Consider the following 17,593-nt stretch of genomic DNA (forward strand, 5'->3'; position numbering starts at 1 on the left):
CTACTAGCAAGATATTAATGATGAAAAGTCTTTAAGTCATCTTAAATCTGAGTCAAAGGAGCCATTAAAGGATTCTGAATTTGAGTCTTTGAAAACCTGTAATAAGAGCTTTGAAGAAGATCCAAAGTGGTCCAACCCAGAACCAAACGATCTGAAGGAAGAAAATGAGGTAGGAGAAGGAAAGATAGTCTTTGAATATGTAATTAATATAATACACTGAATTCATAAGTGAAGAGGACTGGAATAAACTCTGTTTAAACCCCACTGCTTTTAGTATTACAAATTCTTAGGCCAAGTGCAATGGTTCACACCTGTAATCCCAGCACTTTGGGAGGCTGAGGTGGGCGGATCACTTGAGGTCAGGAGTTCAAGACCAGCGTGGTCAACATGATGATACCTTGTCTCTACAAAATGTACCAAAAAAAATTAGCCAGCCATAGTGGCATGTGCCTGTAATCCCAGCTACTCAGGAGGCTGGGGCTTGAGAATGCCTGATCCCAGGAGGTGGAGGTGGCAGTGAGCTGAGATCGTGCCACTGTACTCCAGCCTGGGTGATAGAGTGAGACTCTGTCTCAAAAAAATAAAGTAAAATAAGTAAAAAAATGTGTTCATAGTAACCAAGACTAAAGTTGTAGCAATATAACCTTGATCATAAAAAAAGGTATCTGGCTTTGATGTGTTAGTTAATATCCTGTGACTTGGGGTGGTCTTCAAGAATTATACAGTAGCTAGAAACTAGTATTGAGAAATTATATTACGAAAAACCCATTGGGAAAAATGTTTACAACTTTTTTGGAGGATGTATTTTTATTTTAATCAAATGTTTATGTACACAAAACTTAAGATCCCCCATGACTCCTTCCCCTATATTTCCTGTTTCCCAGAGCACCCACGTTTATCTCTTTTAGCTGCTTTTGGAATTTACTTCTGTTTCTTTCATTAAATAACATCCTCATGTTGTTATTTGTTATTTCCTGATTTTTCAGTTTTAAGTATCTGTGGATTTCCCACTGTGAAAGATGAGGGCTTAGTTCTCTTTCATCGCCTTACCACCACCACACACAAACATAACCTTTTTGTCCCTTCCCCCTACCATGTTACTGATATAGTATATCAAACTTTCCATCAGATCACTATTCAATGTTTACATTACTGTGACTATGTAAATGCTCTTCACGGCTTGGCCAAGTATTATAGTACACTGTTACACCTTTTTTTCCCTTGCATAACTTTTTTTCATGTTAATATTTCTTTCCTTTTATAAATTAACACATAGTAAAATTGACTGTTTTGGTGTACTATTCTATCAACTTTAATAAATGTGTAGATTTGTGTAACCAACACTGCAATTGGGATGCAGAACAGCTCCATCATCTAAAATAACTCCCTTGTGCTACTGCTTTGTAATCACAGTCTCCCCACATCCCTAACCCCTAGCAACTGGTCTGGGGTCTGTTTTCTGTCACTCTAGTTTTACCTTTTCAGGACTGTCATGTAAGTAGAATCATATAGTATGTAACCTTTGGAGACTGGCTTCTTTCATTCAGTATATTTCTGTACCTTTGAGATTCATCCATGCTCTTGCATGTATCAATAATATGTTCTTTTCGATTGCTGAATAGTATTTTATAGGATAAATACACCACAGTTTGTATACCCATTCACCCATTGAAGGACATTTGGGTTGTTTCTAGTTTGGGGTATTTATGAATAGAGCTGCTATAAATATTCATGTACAGGTTTTTGTGTGAACATAAGCTTCATTTATCTACGGTAAATACCCAGGAGTAAGATTGCTGGGTCATGTGATAAGTGTATGTCAAACTTTTTTCCAGAGTGGCTGTACCATTTTGAATTTTCACCAGCAATAATATATGAGTTCCAGTTGCTCCATTTTCTTGTCAGCACTTGACATTGTCAGTAATTTTGCTTTAGCCATTTTAATAGGTGTGTAGTAGTATCACAGCATGATTTTAAATTCCAGTGATTAATGATGTTGAACATCTTTTCATGTGCTTAGTTGTCATCTATACACAATTCTTGGTGAAATTTCTGTTGAAGTCTTTTTCCCATTTTTTTGATTGGGTTGTTTTCTTACTCTTGAGTTTTGAGAGTTCTTTATATATTCAGGATACTAGTTCTTTGTCAAATAATGTGATTTTCAAAAATATTTTCTCACTTGTAGCTTGTCTTTTCATTCTCTTGATAGTGTCTTTCATACAGAAGTTTTTAATTTTGAAAAAACCTAACGTATCAACTTGTTTTCTATTATGGACAGTGTTTCCAGTATCAAGACATCTTGAGTTAATTTTAGTATAAGGCATGAAATTTAGGTTAGGTTTCATTTTGTTACATGTGGATGTCCAACTGATCCAGCATCCTTTGTTGACAAGACTATCCTATCTCCATTGAATTGTCTTTGAAGCCTTATCAAAAATCAATTGTCCATATTTCTGTAAGTCTATTTCTAGACTCTATATTCTTCTCCAGTGACCTATATGTTTGTCTCTTCATCACTACCACATTGTCTTGATTACTGTAGACTTACATAGTACCTCTTAAAATCAGGTAGTATGGGCTGGGCGCAGTGGCTCATGCCTATAATCCTAGCACTTTGGGAGGCCAAGGTGGGTGGATTACCTGAGGTCTGGAGTTCAGGACCAGCCTGGCCAACATGGCAAAACCCTGTCTCTACTAAACAATACAAAAACTAGCCGAGTGTGGTGGTGGGCACCTGTAATCCCAGCTACTTAGGAGACTGAGACAGGAGAATTGCTTGAACCCGGAAGACAGAGGGAGGTTGCAGTGAGCTGGGATCACACCATTGCACTCCAGCCTGGACGACAAGAGCAAAACTCTGTCTCAAGAAAAAGAAAAAATCAGGTAGTATGATTCCTCCTATTTTATACTTTTTCAAAATTGTTTTTAATATTTTGGTTCCTTTTTCTTTCCTTGTAAATTTTAGAATCAGCTTATCTATACCTGAGATTTTGATTGGAGTTGTGTTATATATATAGATAATTTTGAGGAAAGTTGATGCTTTAGTCCATGAACATGGTGTATCTCCCCATTTATTTAGGTTTTCTTTTATTTCTTCAACAGTGTTATAATTTTCAGTATACAGGATCTGTACATGTTCTGTTAATTTTATACCTAAGTATTTCACTTATTTTGAGAGCTATTATAAATGTTTTCCCCAGTTTTTGTATTTTAATTGCTAGTATATAGAAATTGGTGTTTTTTTGAACTACCTAACTTCACTTATCCATTCTAGGGGGTGTTTTGTTGGTTTCTTTTGTGATTTTCTGTATCAGTAATGTTGTCTGCGTTAGTACATGCAAATGGATATCTGTTTTCATGAGATATTGGTCTGTAGTTTTCTTGTATTGTCTTTGGTTTTTATACTGGATAATCCTGGCCTCATAAAATAAATCTGAATATATTGCCCGCTTTGCTGTTTTCTGGGAAAGATTATGTAGAATTGTATTTCCTTTTTATTTATTTTTGTTGTTTGTGTGGATCTTTATTTTCTTAGTTTTTTTAATTAAGTAAAATTGCATATATGGTGTACAACATGTTTCAATATATGTATACACTGTAGCATGTATAAGTCAAGCTATTTAGCATATGCATTACCTCACATATTTGTTATTTTTTTGTGGTGAAAACACTTAAAATCTACTCTCCTGGCAATTTTTAAGTATACAATATGTCACTATTAACTGTAGTTACCAAGATGTATAGCAGATCTCTTGAACTTACTCCTCCTGTCTACTGAAATTTTGTGTCCTTTGACCAACATCTGCCCAATCCCTCCACCTCCTAGCCTCTGGTAACTACTATTTCACTCTGCTTTTTTAGATTCCACATGTAAGTGAGATCATGTGTTATTCCTCTTTCTGTATCTGGCTTCTTTCATGTAACATAATGTCCTCCTGGTTCATCCATTTTGTCACAAATTACAAGATTTCCTTCTTTTTAAAGGTTGAATATTGTTACATTGTGTATATATACCACGTTTTCTTTATTTGTTTATTGATGTACACTTTGTACAGGTTGATACTGTCCTAATAAAATGAGTTGGAAGTATTCGCTCATCTATTTTCTGGAAAAGGTTACATAAAATCAGGTTATTTTTCAGGGAGAGAAGTTAATTTTTAAAATGTTTGATATTACCTTATAAAACTATCTGGGCCTGGAGACTTTTTTCCAGAAGAATTTAAATTATAAAATCAATTGCTTTAGTAGATATAAGATTATTCAAATCAGCTATTTTATCTTAGTCTTGGTATTTTGTGGTTTTTGAGGAAGTGACTCATTTAAGTTATCAAATGAGGAATTGGTTCACTTCATCTAAGTTGTCAACTATATGTATAACATTGTTTATAGTATTCCCTTATTATCCTTTTGTTATCTGCAGGGTCTGCAATGATAATCTCCTATTACATTTCTGATATTGGCAGTTTGTCTTCTCCCCTTTTCATTAGTCTTACTAGAGATTTATCCATTTTATTGAACTTCCCATTCCTAGAGAATAAGCTTTTGGTGTCACTGGTTTTATCTCTTGTCTTTCTGTTTTCAAGTTCGTTGATTTCTTTCTTTTATTTTCTTTGGGTTTATTTTTGCTTTCTTTTTCTATTTCTTTAAGATGGAAGTTTACTTTATTGATTTGAGACCTTTCTTTTCTAATATAAGCATTGATGCTATGAGTCTCTACATATCACTTTAGCTGCATTTCACAAATTTGAACATATTGTATTTTCATTTTCATTCAGTTCAAATATTTTATAGTTTATTTTGAGATATTATCTTTCACCCATGAATTATTTGGAAGTGTGTTGTTTAATTTCCAAGTGTTTGGAAATTTTCATGTTAACTTCCTGTTACGTCTTTCCAGTATAGTATGGTCTTAGAACACAGTATGATTTCAGTTCTTTAAATTTGTTAAGGTTTGTTTTGTCAACACAGGATGTGGTCTAGCTTGGTAAATGTCCATGTGTCTTTGAAAAAAACATGTATTCTGTTGTTTGGTGGAGTTTCTATAAATGTCAGATCCAATTGATTAGTGGTATTGTTCAGTTCTTCTGATCCTTGCTATCTACCGATTTTGTTGATTACTGAGAAGAACACTGAAGTCTGTAACTGTAATCTTGGATTTTGTCTATTTCTCCTTTCATTCTGTCAGTTTTTCTGTTGTGCATTTTGAAGCTCTATTGTTAGGTGTTATCCATTTAGGATTCTTACATGTCTTGGTGAATTGACCCTTTTATCATTATGAAATGTCTTTATTCACAATTACTTTTTTTGCACTGAAGTGTACATAATGCACTGATATCAGTATAGCCATTCCAGTTTTCGTGTGTGTGTGTGTGTGTGTGTGTGTGTGTGTGTGTGTGTGCGCGCGCTTGCCTGGTATATTTTTTTCCATCCTTCTAACCTACCTGTGTCATTATATTTGAAGTAAGTTTCTTGAGACAGCATATAGTTTGATTATTTATTTATTTATTTAATTTATTTTTTTGAGACGGAGTTTTGCTCTTGTTTCCCAGGCTGGAGTGCAATGGCATGATCTCAGCTCACCACAACCTCCACCTCTTGGGTTCAAGCAATTCTCCTGCCTCAGCCTCCTGAGTAGCTGGGATTACAGGTGTGCGCCCCATGCCCGGCTAATTTTGTATTTTTAATAGAGATGGGATTTCTCCATGTTGGTCAGGCTGGTCTTGAACTCCCGACCTCAGATGATCTGCCCACCTTGGCCTCCCAAAGTGCTGGGATTACAGGCATGAGCCACTGTGCTCAGCCTTGTTTGATTATTTTTTAATCCACTCTGACAATCTGAATTTTAATTAGTATGGTTTGGACTATTTATGTTTAATGTGATTATATATATGTTTTTATTTTAGATCTGCCATTTTATTTTTCTGTTTGTTCCCCTGATTTTCATTCATCTGCCTCCTCTTTCTTGCCTTCTCTTAGGTTATTTGAACATTTTTTAGTATTCCATTTTATCTACTATGGTTTTTTTTTTTTTTTTTTTTTTTTTTGAGACAGAGTCTTGCTCTGTTGCCCAGGCTGGAGTGCAGTGGCACAATCTCGGCTCACTGCAAGCTCTGCCTCTCAGGTTCACGCCATTCTCCTGCCTCAGCCTCCCGAGTAGCTGGGACTCCAGGCACCCACCAGCACACCTGGCTAATTTTTTTTTATTTTCAGTAGAGACGGGGTTTCACCGTGTTATCCAGGATGGTCTCAATCTCCTGACCTCATGATCCGCCCACCTTGACTTCCCAAAGTACTGTGTTTTTATTATATCTATTTGTATAGTGTTTTTAGTGGTTGCTTTAGGAATTACACTTGTCATTCTTGACTTTTACAATGTACTTAGTCAGCATTTTACCACTTTGGAATGTCAGTGTCTTACCCTACTATTTAGATCTTTTTACCCCTTCCTTTTTCCTTTATGCCATCCTTGTCTTATATATTACACCTGCATATAATTTATGATGTTAGTTTTTGCTTTCCATCTTCAAGAATATTCTTTAAAAGTTCAAGAGAATAGTTGTTATATATACCCAGATATTTATCATTTCTGTTGGTCTTTCTTTTTCTGATATTCCAAGTTTCCTTCTGATATCTCCTTTCTGTCCAAAGAACTTCCTTTAACAATTATTTTTGAGTAGGTATGCTGACCATGAATTCTGTTTTCTTTATTGAGAATATATTTATTACTTCATTCTTGAAGGATATTTTGGCTGTATATAGAAACCTGGGTTCCCATTTCTTCTCTTTTAGCACTTTAACAGTTTCATTCTTCTCCTTTCTGCCCTTCATGGTTTCTGATGCAAAATCCACAGTAATTGAAATTGTTCTTCCTTTATAAGTAATGTGTTATTTTTCTTTGGCTACATTCAAGATAGTTCTTTGTCTTTAGTTTTCAGCAACTTGAGTAGAACCTGTCTGGGCATGGATTTCTTTAGGTTTATCCAGTTTGGGTTTTGGTGAACTTCTTGAATCTGTAGATTTATGTCTTTCACCAAATTTTGGATGTTTTCAGCCATATTTCTTCAAATTATTTTTCTGCATTATATTCTTTCTGTTCTCCTTGTGAGACTCTGATGACACAAATGTTATATCTTTTGGTATTGTTCCACAGTCCCTGAGGCTCTGTTTTGAGTTTTTTGTTTGGTTGTTTTTTTTGTTTTTTTCCCCCCAATCTTTTTTTCTCTTTTGTTTAGATTTTATCATTTCTAGGGATCTGTCTTCAAGTTCATGCATTCTTTCATTTCTGTTCTGCTATTGAAAAGACAGCCAGGGATCTCAATATTCATTATAAAAACTTTCATTTGATTCCTTAATAATTTTTTATTATGATTGCTCCATCCTCAGTTTTACCCTCCAGAATATTTCTGGTCTTCTGACAGATAGAAGAGATGTAGTTGCCTGAGTTCTTGGAATAGGGGAGAGTATCTGGAGATCTAAGTCCTGCTTACACAGACTTTCAGCCAGTGTGCTTGTTTTCATTCCCATTTTACCCCCTCAATTCCAAAAACCTTTTAGTACAAATTTCTGAGTTTTTGAGGTATATATTGTATAGATTTGGGTTGCTTCTCAATTTTTTCACTACAAGCTCAGGATTCCACTTTCTCAGGACTGCTTAATCGGTTGTCACTTGTCTGCTTTCCTGTACCCAGAAAGTAGATGGTGCTTTCTCCTCTTCTGTTCTCTTTGACTATAAAGATTATATCCTAAATCTCTTTATTATTTTGGTGGCATTTCAGAAGGGAAATTAATAAATTGTGAATTCAAACTGTCATCTTTACCTGGAGTCAGGAAAAAACTATAAAACCTAAATTTTATGTGCTCATATAGGAACTATAAATGATAGTTTTTCTTTGTCTTCTGTTACATTTTAGGATGAGATCCCCACTGGAATGCCATGCCTGGAGTCAGTGACCATAGGTGATGATATTTGGGATGAGAACTGGTTACCTCTACAGGCTAAGATGGGAAAAGGAGGTGATGCTGCCTCCCATCTATTTACTGCAAGCCTTGGTGGAAAGAATCAGTATTCATCATGTAAAGAAATGCCACAGAAGGTTAGATCCTTGGAAAAATAGAAAGCAAATCAGGCCGGGCACTGCGGCTCAAGCCTGTAATCCTAGCAGTTTGGGAGGCCAAGGTGGGTGGATCAGTTGAGCTCAGGAGTTCATGACCAGCCTGGGCAACATGGTGAGACCCTGTCTCTACTAAAAATAGCCAGGTGTGGTGGTGTGCACTTGCTCTCCCAGCTACTTGGAAGGTTGAGGTAGGAGGATCAGTGCTTGAGCCTGGGAGCTGGAGGTTGCAGTGAGCCAAGATCATGCCACTACATTCCACCAGCTTGGGTGACAGAGTAAGACCCTATCTAAAAAAAAATAGGAAAAGAAAGCAAATCAGTACTGAGAAAAGGAAATTTAAATTTAATTGTCTAGGTCCAAGAAAGCTATATATTCTGGAATTCAAAAGTATTTATCAGGCCATAATTCAAAGAATACATGATTTTAAAAAATGGCAGTGACATGTAGTGGGACAGAGGATTCATCATGGGACAATAAACCATAGGCCAATTTTTGCATATCTGCCCTTTTAATCATTGTGATTTTTGTTTTATCATTGGCCCCTAGTCAAGGCCCTTAGGATCTATAAATAAATGAAAGAAACCATTTTCTCTAATTCTACTGTTGTTGCTTTAGCCTTGTAATATAACCCCTGGATTTCTGGAGTCAGCATATTTGCTAATATTAGGCCTAACTATATATATTTGAAATTTATTTTCCACTGGCTATAAGAATAAGTATCTGAAATTATGTTGCTCCTTCATGTTTGTGCTATTTAAGTACTAGGTGATCATGAAAAAAATCATCTAGCCATGAAAAAGATATTAAAGGAAAGACTACAAACAGAGTTGTATTTATTTTTGAGATCCATGTGTTCAGAGTTCAAGATACTGGGTATGGACCAATAAAGCAAGGAGGAAAGTCAAACTGATATAGAAAGTTAATAAATACCTTTTTTAAAAATATGTATTGCTTTCTTGCATTTATCTTGCCCAAGTTATCCTCTTTTTGGGTCATGTTGCACTTTATCTCAGTCTGTTGTTGCCATTTTTTCATTATAGGACTGGTGTTTTTCTACCCCTAAAGATACATGGGATGATTCTTGGCAGCCTTCAGGCCTTGTAAATGGAACGAAAGTAGAAGTTCATAAGCCAGAAGTACTGGGTGCTCAGGAAAAAAATACTGGCACAAACAGGACTCAAAAGGTAAATGTCTAATGCAGGTTATTGGGACAGGTTTGCATAAGGAAGTCCTTTCATTTTTAGAAAGCAAAATTGTCTCAATTTACATATTTTGATATTGCCTGTCTCTTAACAGCTTGCTGTAGCTGTTACTGTTGATGATAAATTTGACTTTCTGGGCTTTGTACTAGAGTTATGAGTGGATTTGCACCCCAGAATACTTGTGGTTAATGACCTCTCTCAGCAGTTGTAGAATACATATACATAAAATATATGTTGATTTTAAAATGAAAACATAATTACTTATTGCTTCAGAAGAGAATCCTGAGCCTAGAATTTTAAAAATGATTAAACCTCTCTTAGAGATACAGAAAATTGGGATTTTCCTGTAACTTAGTCATAATTTTAAGCTCTATATTTGTCGCATAGTCTAGACTGGTTTCTTCATTCACATTGCTTTGGCAGAAAGCAGTAATCCTGGCATAGAATCTAATTGTTTCAGGTTTCCTGAATATATTACGAGCATCCTGAAAGCAGCAGGACAATGTCTGTGAATCACGAAATTTGGCTGCCAGGCCTCTTTACTTTGGTGTGTTACATTGAAAATAAAGAGCTTAAGTCTAGAAGACTTGTTCAAAAGCAGATCTAGGGAAGATGAACCTTCTAAGTGACACATTTCCTTCAGACTGTGGTTACTTTTGTATGAGAATGATAAAGTCATTCTGTATTTCATAGAATGGTCTCTTCCAGAAATGTAGCTTACTTAATGCATGAATTTAGTTTCAGGATAAAGTAGGCTTTTATATTTTGTTTCTCTTGTCTTTTTTTTTAAATACAGCTTTATTGGAATATAATTGATATACCATTATAATTCACTATTTAAAATGCACAATTCAATGTTTTTAGGATACACAGCTGTGCAGCTATCACTACAGTCTATTTTAGAATATTTTCATCACGCTCTCAAAAAAAACCACCCATGACCATTAGCAGTCATACTCCTTCCCTGTCCTCTCACAGCCTTAGGCAGCTACTTACTAATCTGCTTTCTGTCTCTACAGATTTGTCTGTTAAATGGCACACAGTATGTGGTTTTCTGTGATTGTCTTCTTTCACCTAGCATTAATAATGTCTTCAAAATTCATCCTTGTTGTAGTATGAACCAGTACTTTATTCCTTTCTATGGCTGAATAATATTCCCTTCTATGATATACCACATCTTATTTATCCATTCATCAGTTGGTGGGAATTTGGGCTGCTTTCACATTTTGGCTATTATGCTGCTAAGAATGTTCAAGTACAAGGTTTTCTGTGAACATGTTTTAGTTTTTCTTAGATATATAACTAGGAGTGGAGTTTCTGGATCGTATGGTAATTCTGCTTTTAACATTTTGTGGAATTGGCATACTGTCATTCAAAGTGGCTGCAACATTTTATGTACCCCCCAGCAGTGTATGAGGGTTCCAGTTCTCCATATCTTCACCAACACTTATTGCCTGTTCTTTTGATTATGGCCATGCTAGTGGATATGAAGGGTTTTCTTTCCATATCCCTGATGGCTAATGATGTTGGGTGTCTTTTCATGTGCTTATTGGTGATTTATCTTCTCTGACAAGATATTCAGATCCTTTGCCCATTTTAAAAGTAGGTTGTCTTTTGTTATTCAGATATAAGAAAATATCATATTACAAGTCCCTTATGAGATATATTATTTTCAAATTTTCTACTCTTCTGTTTTTCTTTTTCACTTAATGGTGTCCATTGCAGCACAAAAGTTTGTTTTTAATAAAATCCAATCGATTTTTTTATTTGGTTGCTTGAGCTCTTGGTCTCCCCTAATAAGCCATTGTCTGACCAAAAGTTACAAAGATTTACACTTGTGTTTTCACCTAAGCATTTTATAATTTTAGCTCTTACATTTAGGCCTTTGATCCATTTTGAGTTAATTTGTTATGGTGTGAGATAGAGTCCATCTTTATTCTTTTGCATGTGGACATTCAGCTGTACCAGCACTAGTTGTTGAAACGATGATTCTTTCCCCATGAATTGTCTTGGCATCCTTATTGAAAATCAGCTGACATAAAGATAGGGTTTATTTCTGGATTCTTAATCCTATTCTCTATGTGTCTGTTCCTATACCAGCGTCACATTGTCTTGATTACTCTAGCTATTTAATAAGTTTTGAAGTCAGGAAATCTGAGTCCTCAAACTTTTTCTGTCATGTAGTTTTATACTATTAATTTATACCCCACGAAGAGAAGTTACAAAGGTAAAATCTTTACTGTATCATAATGAACTCCTTAAGGTATATTTCTTAAGAAAGTTTTCTTTTTCTACCCCTTTTTCTATTCCTATTCTAAAGCAACCTGTACTTACCATGCAGGTTGAATATCCCTTATTCAAAAGGCTTGGGACTGGAAGTATGCTTAGGATACAGTCCTCTCCTGCTGTCTGTATCTTCAGCCTCTTTCTACTGGAGTGTTCTCATAAGCATTTAAACATGTTAGTGTACCTTCCGTCTAAACAAAATTTAAACATTCCAAATTTTTTTAATCCCAAAGTCCTCTCTAGCTACCACACTTGTTTTTCATCCCCTATGTAGACAAACATGTTTTGCTTTTGAAAATTATGAAAGTACTACATATGCAGGATTTTAAAATTCAAGTAGTTCTGAAAGTTACGGAAATAAGATATCCTTGCCTCTTCTAATCCAACTCCCATCATAAGCAGTTTCTTGTGTATCCTTCCTAGAAACTAAACACATACATGAGAACATGATACACATACTGTTCAGCACCTTTCCATTTCAATACTTACAAACCTACCTCATTGCTTTAAACTCCTGCAGAGTATGGATATGCCACACTGATTTAAATAGTTCTGATGAATATCTATTTTTAAGATTTCATGTGACTTTAAACAATACTACAGTGATTATCCTTCAAGTCACCATCTATTCCCATGTTGCTAAATTAGGTTGGCATGTTTTAACCTTACAGTACCTGATTGCTCAGCAATATTTGAAAGTAATCTTGTGTTCCTTCTTGAAACATAATCTTCCTTTGGGTTTTGTGATGCCATGATCTTTTTTCCTCCTACCTCCCGACGTAATTTGTAGGCTTGCTCCCTGTGGTGTCTCCCAGAGTTCTGCCCTATGCCGTTTTCTTACTCCTTCCCATGTTTTCATTTATCTTAGTATGTAACTAGATAAGCATATGGCAACCCTATGTTTAACATTTTGAGGAACTACCAGGATATTTTCCAGAGCAGTGGTGCCATTTTACATTCCTACCAACAATTTAAGAGTACTCCAGTTTGTCCATGTCAACATTTGCTGTTCTTGCCAACAATTGTAATCATGTCTTTTTTATTATAGCCATTCTAGTGGATGTGAAGTGATTTGGGGCATTTGTTCATGTTTCATAAATCATGAACATGTTTGTTGAGACTAACCTGTAGTTCCATCTTGGTGTATTTCCAAACAACTGTGAGGGAGTCAGTCATTTATAACTACAGAAGAATAAATCTGGTAGAGCAGTGCTTCTCAAACTATAATGTGTATACAGGTCACCTGGGAATCTTGTTAAAATGCAGATTCTTATCCAGCATATCTGGGGTAGGGACCAAAGCTCTTCATGTCTAGCAAGCTTCCAACTAATGCTGATGCTGCTGATGAGTGAACACCACTTTTGAGTAGTAAGGCTCTAGGTTACTGTTAGAAGGGGAAGACTTATTTTCAACTAATTGCTTAAATTTACTACACATACTTGCTTTCAGATGTGATACAAATTTAAAGTGAAATTCAGAGTGAAAGCTATCAGGATGCATTTAAATATGTGTCAACAGTGCATCTTTCTTAAATCATATTTGTCAAGAAAGAAGATATAGCTTTTTAAAAATGTTTCTGTATATTATCTATTAAACAGCTAAACATAGGCAGTAGGGCATAATGTAAAAAGCACTGGTCTGTGAGTGCTATAATCTAGGGCCTAGTCTTTACCACTGACTAGCAAGTTTAAACAAGTTACCTTTTGTGCCCTGAGCTTGTCCACCTGTGAAGACTGATTTGAACTAGTAATCTCCCCAGCTTAAAAAATTTATGATATTAATATTGATTTACTTATTATTGCAGCTTATTGAAAGAATTCACTCATTCTCAGCCTCATTTTAAGTGAAGATAAACTTAAAAGGTAGTTCAAGTATACATGTGAATTGCATAAACTATGCAAAAATTTGAGTCCAGGTCTTTGGTTTCCTGAAATAACATCTTGTATGGCCCAGTATAGCTATCTGGAGTTTTAGAATTTCTTTTTTGCAACCAAGAAAGGTTATACACACAGGCATTTATATATTATATAATTATATAAGCCACATTCATGCCAGCCATCTTTGAAAGTGAGCAGCTATAGATTTTTGCCACAGAAGGAACATTTGCTGATATTAAATGTGTGATGCATATGAGCCAGAAAAACAAGCCTACATCTGTTTGTACAATTATTGTTTCAGTTTGCTCTAGGCAGATCCCAGACGATAAACCACTTAGTTCAGCTTGTTACAGCTTGGTCTGATGGGGTCCTCTTTACTCATGTTAATGCCAGTTGACATCACCAAAGATCAATGCTATTAAATGACCATAGAGTACACTTACTTCAGCAATGACTATATGGTAGGAAATGGGGTCTAATTCATAATGGTTAAAATTTGGCACTCCCTTCATTTAAGCTCAAGTTCAATCTCAGTTTGGAAGTTCATCTTTTTCTCTCAAACCCTGGCCTTTTTGTCCCTTCTGAGGAGCATGCAGCTCTTGCCTCCTTTCATGGCTAGCTGCACACACACAGTTTCCCTGACTGAGGACTGAGTGCCCCTTAGGGACAGGGATCCTGTCTGACTGGGAGGTGGTGTGGTAGAGCACAGAGAACATAGACTGGCTTAAGTTCAAATCTGCACCCTGCCATTTACTGATGGACATTGGATAACTTAACCACTCTGTAAAAGCATTATGCTAAGTGAAAGAAGACGTAGTATCACCTACCTAGGACACCTGTTCTGATGTTCAAATGAAGAAACACATGCAGATAACCTAGCACTGTGCCCGACACGGGGTGCTCAGTGAACATCACTTCTCTCGTGCCCTGCCCCTCTTTCCCAGCCTGTGTATGGTAGCACTCAGTGCCCTGTTTGCTTATGGGATGTGTTCCATAAATGTTTCTTGAATTGAATTTATGTTCATTAGGATAGAGAAGGACTTGCTTTTTCTAGAGAGTATCTAGGTTCTTTTTTTTTTTTTTTTTTTGTGATGGAGTCTCGCTCTGTCGCCCAGGCTGGAGTGCGGTGGCGCAACCTCGGCTCACTGCAACCTGCGCCTCCCAGGTTCACGCCATTCTCCTGCCTCAGCTTCCTGAGTAGCTGGGACTACAGGCGCCTGCCACCACGCCCAGCTAATTTTTTTTGTGTTTTTAGTAGAGACGGGGTTTCACCATGTTGGCCAGGATGGTCTCGATCTCCTGACCTCGTGATCCGCCCGCCTCGGCCTCCCAAAGTGCTAGGATTACAGGCGTGAGCCACCGCGCCCGGCTGAGAGTATCTAGGTTCTTGAAAGTGAGTAGTTTTATTTATTTATTATAATATGGAAATATTTGTATTTTGCTTATAAGTAAGGAAATAGGGCTTAATTATTCTTATACTAACACTTTTCATGTTTTTGCCCCATTTTTCCCATTCTGCAGCAACTAGACATAAATGGTTCTTCAGATTCTTCCACACTGCCCAAATTGGAAGAATTCTGTACCTCTCTTACCCAGTCAGAGCAGTCAGCAGACGGGAGCCAGTCTGAACCCAACAACAGTCAGACTCAGCCAAAGCAAATTCAGCTTTCCACAGCAGCACCCTGTTCAACAACTGCAGTGGATGATTCCGCAGAAAAGCCCTCTGGTTCTGGTATGTTTGTGTGTACTTGTGCATGCTCACAGTTGACAAACATGATGGTTTGCCATGTTGCTAAAACAAACCTTCATTTATCCCTTGCAAAATATACCTTGAAACATTACTGACGTTAGCATTTGTGTTAAGTCCTTGTTTTATGTTTGGGCTCAATTGTTCCTTTAACTTTGCCACTCTTCTTTTTTTCTGCACTTTTGTTTTTTTGCCGGAGGGGTGGGGCGTCCCATTTATATAGAGTAAAATTTGCTGGTTGTCAAGTGTATAGTTCTTTGAGTTTCGACAAATTGATAGTCTCGTCATCACAGCCATAATCATGATAACATTTCCATCAGCCTGAAAAGTTTCCTTGTGCCCCTTTGCAGTCAGTCCCATTGCCTACTTGCCTCTGGCATGTCACTTTCCCTTTTCTAGAATTTCATATAAATGGAATTATGTGTAGTTTTTATGTCTGGCTGGCTTCTTTCACTTATGGTAATATTTTAGAGTTTCGTTTATGTTGTGCCAGTATCAAAAAGTTGCTCCTATTTATTTGCTGAATAGTATTCAGTTACATGGATATACCACAATTTACCTGTTTACCAGTTAATGGACACCTATGTTGTTTCCAGAATTTGACCATTATGAATAAAGCTGCTATGAACATTTGCACATAGCTCTTTCTGTAGACGTATGTTTTTATTTCTATTAAAGATATACATAAGAGGCTGGGCACGATGGCTCACGCCTGTAATCCCAGCACTTTGGGAGGCTGAGGTGGGTGGATCACGAGGTCAGGAGTTCAAGACCAGCCTGGCCAAGATGATGAAACCCCATCTGTACTAAAAATACAAAAATTAGCCAGACACAGTGTCAGGAGCCTGTAATCCCAGCTACTTGGGGGAGGCTGAGGCAGGAGAATTGCTTGAACCCAGGCGGCAGAGGTTGCAGTGAGCCGAGATCGTGCCACTACACTCCAGCCTGGGTGACAGAGTGAGACTCCGTCTCAAAAAAAAAAAAAAAATTATATATGTACACACACATAGGAGTCGATTTGCTAGGTCATACAGTAACTGCATGTTTAACTTTTTAGAAACTGCCAAAATTTTCTAAAGTGATTGCACCAATTTGCAGTCCCACCAGCAAGGAATAAAAGTTCCAAGCACTCCACATCCTTGCCAGTAGATGTTATTGTCGATCTTTTTAAATTTTGCCAGTCTGTTGGGTATGTAGTGGTATATTATTGTAGTTTTAATTTGCATTTTCCTGTTTACCACAATGTTCACCATCTTTTTTGTGTGCTTATTTGCCATTCATATATCTTCTTTAGCTAAGTGCCTGTTCAAGTATTTATTTACTTTTTAAATTGGGTTATCTTCTTACCTACCTGTAGAAGTTCTTTGTTCTGTATACACATTCTTTGTCAGGTATAAATATTCCTCCAGTCTGTGGCTTGCCTTTTAGTATCTTTGGAAGAGCAAAAGTTTTCAAGTCCAGTTTATTGATTTTTTTCTCTTTACAATTTGAGCTTTGTGTATCTTGTTTAGAAATCTTTAACTCAAATAACTAAGATTTTCTCCTACATTTTCTTATAAAATTTTTGTAGTTTTAAGTCTGAGATCCAATTCAAGTTAATATTTGTATAGGGTATGATGTGAGGATCAATGTTTATTTTGTTTGCATCTGAATGTCCATTTGTTCCAGCACCATTTGTTGAAAAGACTATCTCCAGTAAATTGCCTTGACACCTTTGCCAAAAGTCAATAGGCTGTATTTGTGAGGATCTGTTTCTAAAATTTCCATTTTGTCCTCTTGGTCTATATGTCTGTTTTTGTACTACTATCTTAATTACCATGGCTTTATAATAAGTCTTGAAATCACATAATGTTAGTCCTCCAACTTTCTTTTTCTCAAGTTGTTTTGCTATTATAGGTCCTTTGATTTTCACATAAATTTTAGAATTAGCTTGTCAGTATCTGCACAAAGCCTGCTAAGATTTTGATCTGATTTTTTAAATTTAAGTTTGTAGATCAATTTGAGGAGAATTCTCATCTTAACAATATTAAGTCTATCCACATACTACATTTTTTGTTTTGCAACAAAGTTTTCATTAGAATGTAAGTTGTTCAGTTATACTGTACTTCTTATGTATAATTTTCATAAAATATTTTGTAAAAACCTAGGACAAATTATATGATTTTTAAAATTTAAAAAATTTACTTCAATAGGTTTTTGGGGAACAGGTGGTGTTTGGTTACTTGAAAGTTCTTTAGTGATGATTTCTGAGATTTCGGTGCACTCATCACCTGAGTGTATACACTGTACCCAATGTGTAGTTTTTTATCCCTCGAAACCCCCCACCCTTTCTCTTGAGTCCCCAAAGTCCAATGTATCATTTTTATG

At 36.2% G+C, this 17,593-nt stretch overlaps 1 protein-coding gene across 11 annotated transcripts in view; it reads left to right on the top strand.

Moving 5' to 3' along the window:
- The window catches only part of TDRD5 (tudor domain containing 5), a 99,660-nt gene that overhangs the window by 62,581 nt on the left and 19,486 nt on the right, over window positions 1-17,593 (top strand). For 6 of the 11 annotated variants that reach the window (NM_001349923.1, NM_001199091.2, XM_047447752.1 and 3 more), the window contains 3 exons: window positions 7,911-8,093; window positions 9,155-9,298; window positions 15,001-15,211. In NM_001349923.1, coding sequence (NP_001336852.1) covers window positions 7,911-8,093; window positions 9,155-9,298; window positions 15,001-15,211 — 538 coding nt within the window. Of the gene's footprint in view, window positions 1-7; window positions 170-7,910; window positions 8,094-9,154; window positions 9,299-15,000; window positions 15,212-17,593 lie in introns of all 11 variants that reach the window. The other 5 variants (XM_047447750.1, XM_005244934.2, NM_001199085.3 and 2 more) reach the window with 1 other exon arrangement.

Source organism: Homo sapiens, chromosome 1 (genome assembly GCF_000001405.40).
Source record: "Homo sapiens chromosome 1, GRCh38.p14 Primary Assembly".
Classification (NCBI taxonomy): domain Eukaryota; kingdom Metazoa; phylum Chordata; class Mammalia; order Primates; family Hominidae; genus Homo; species Homo sapiens.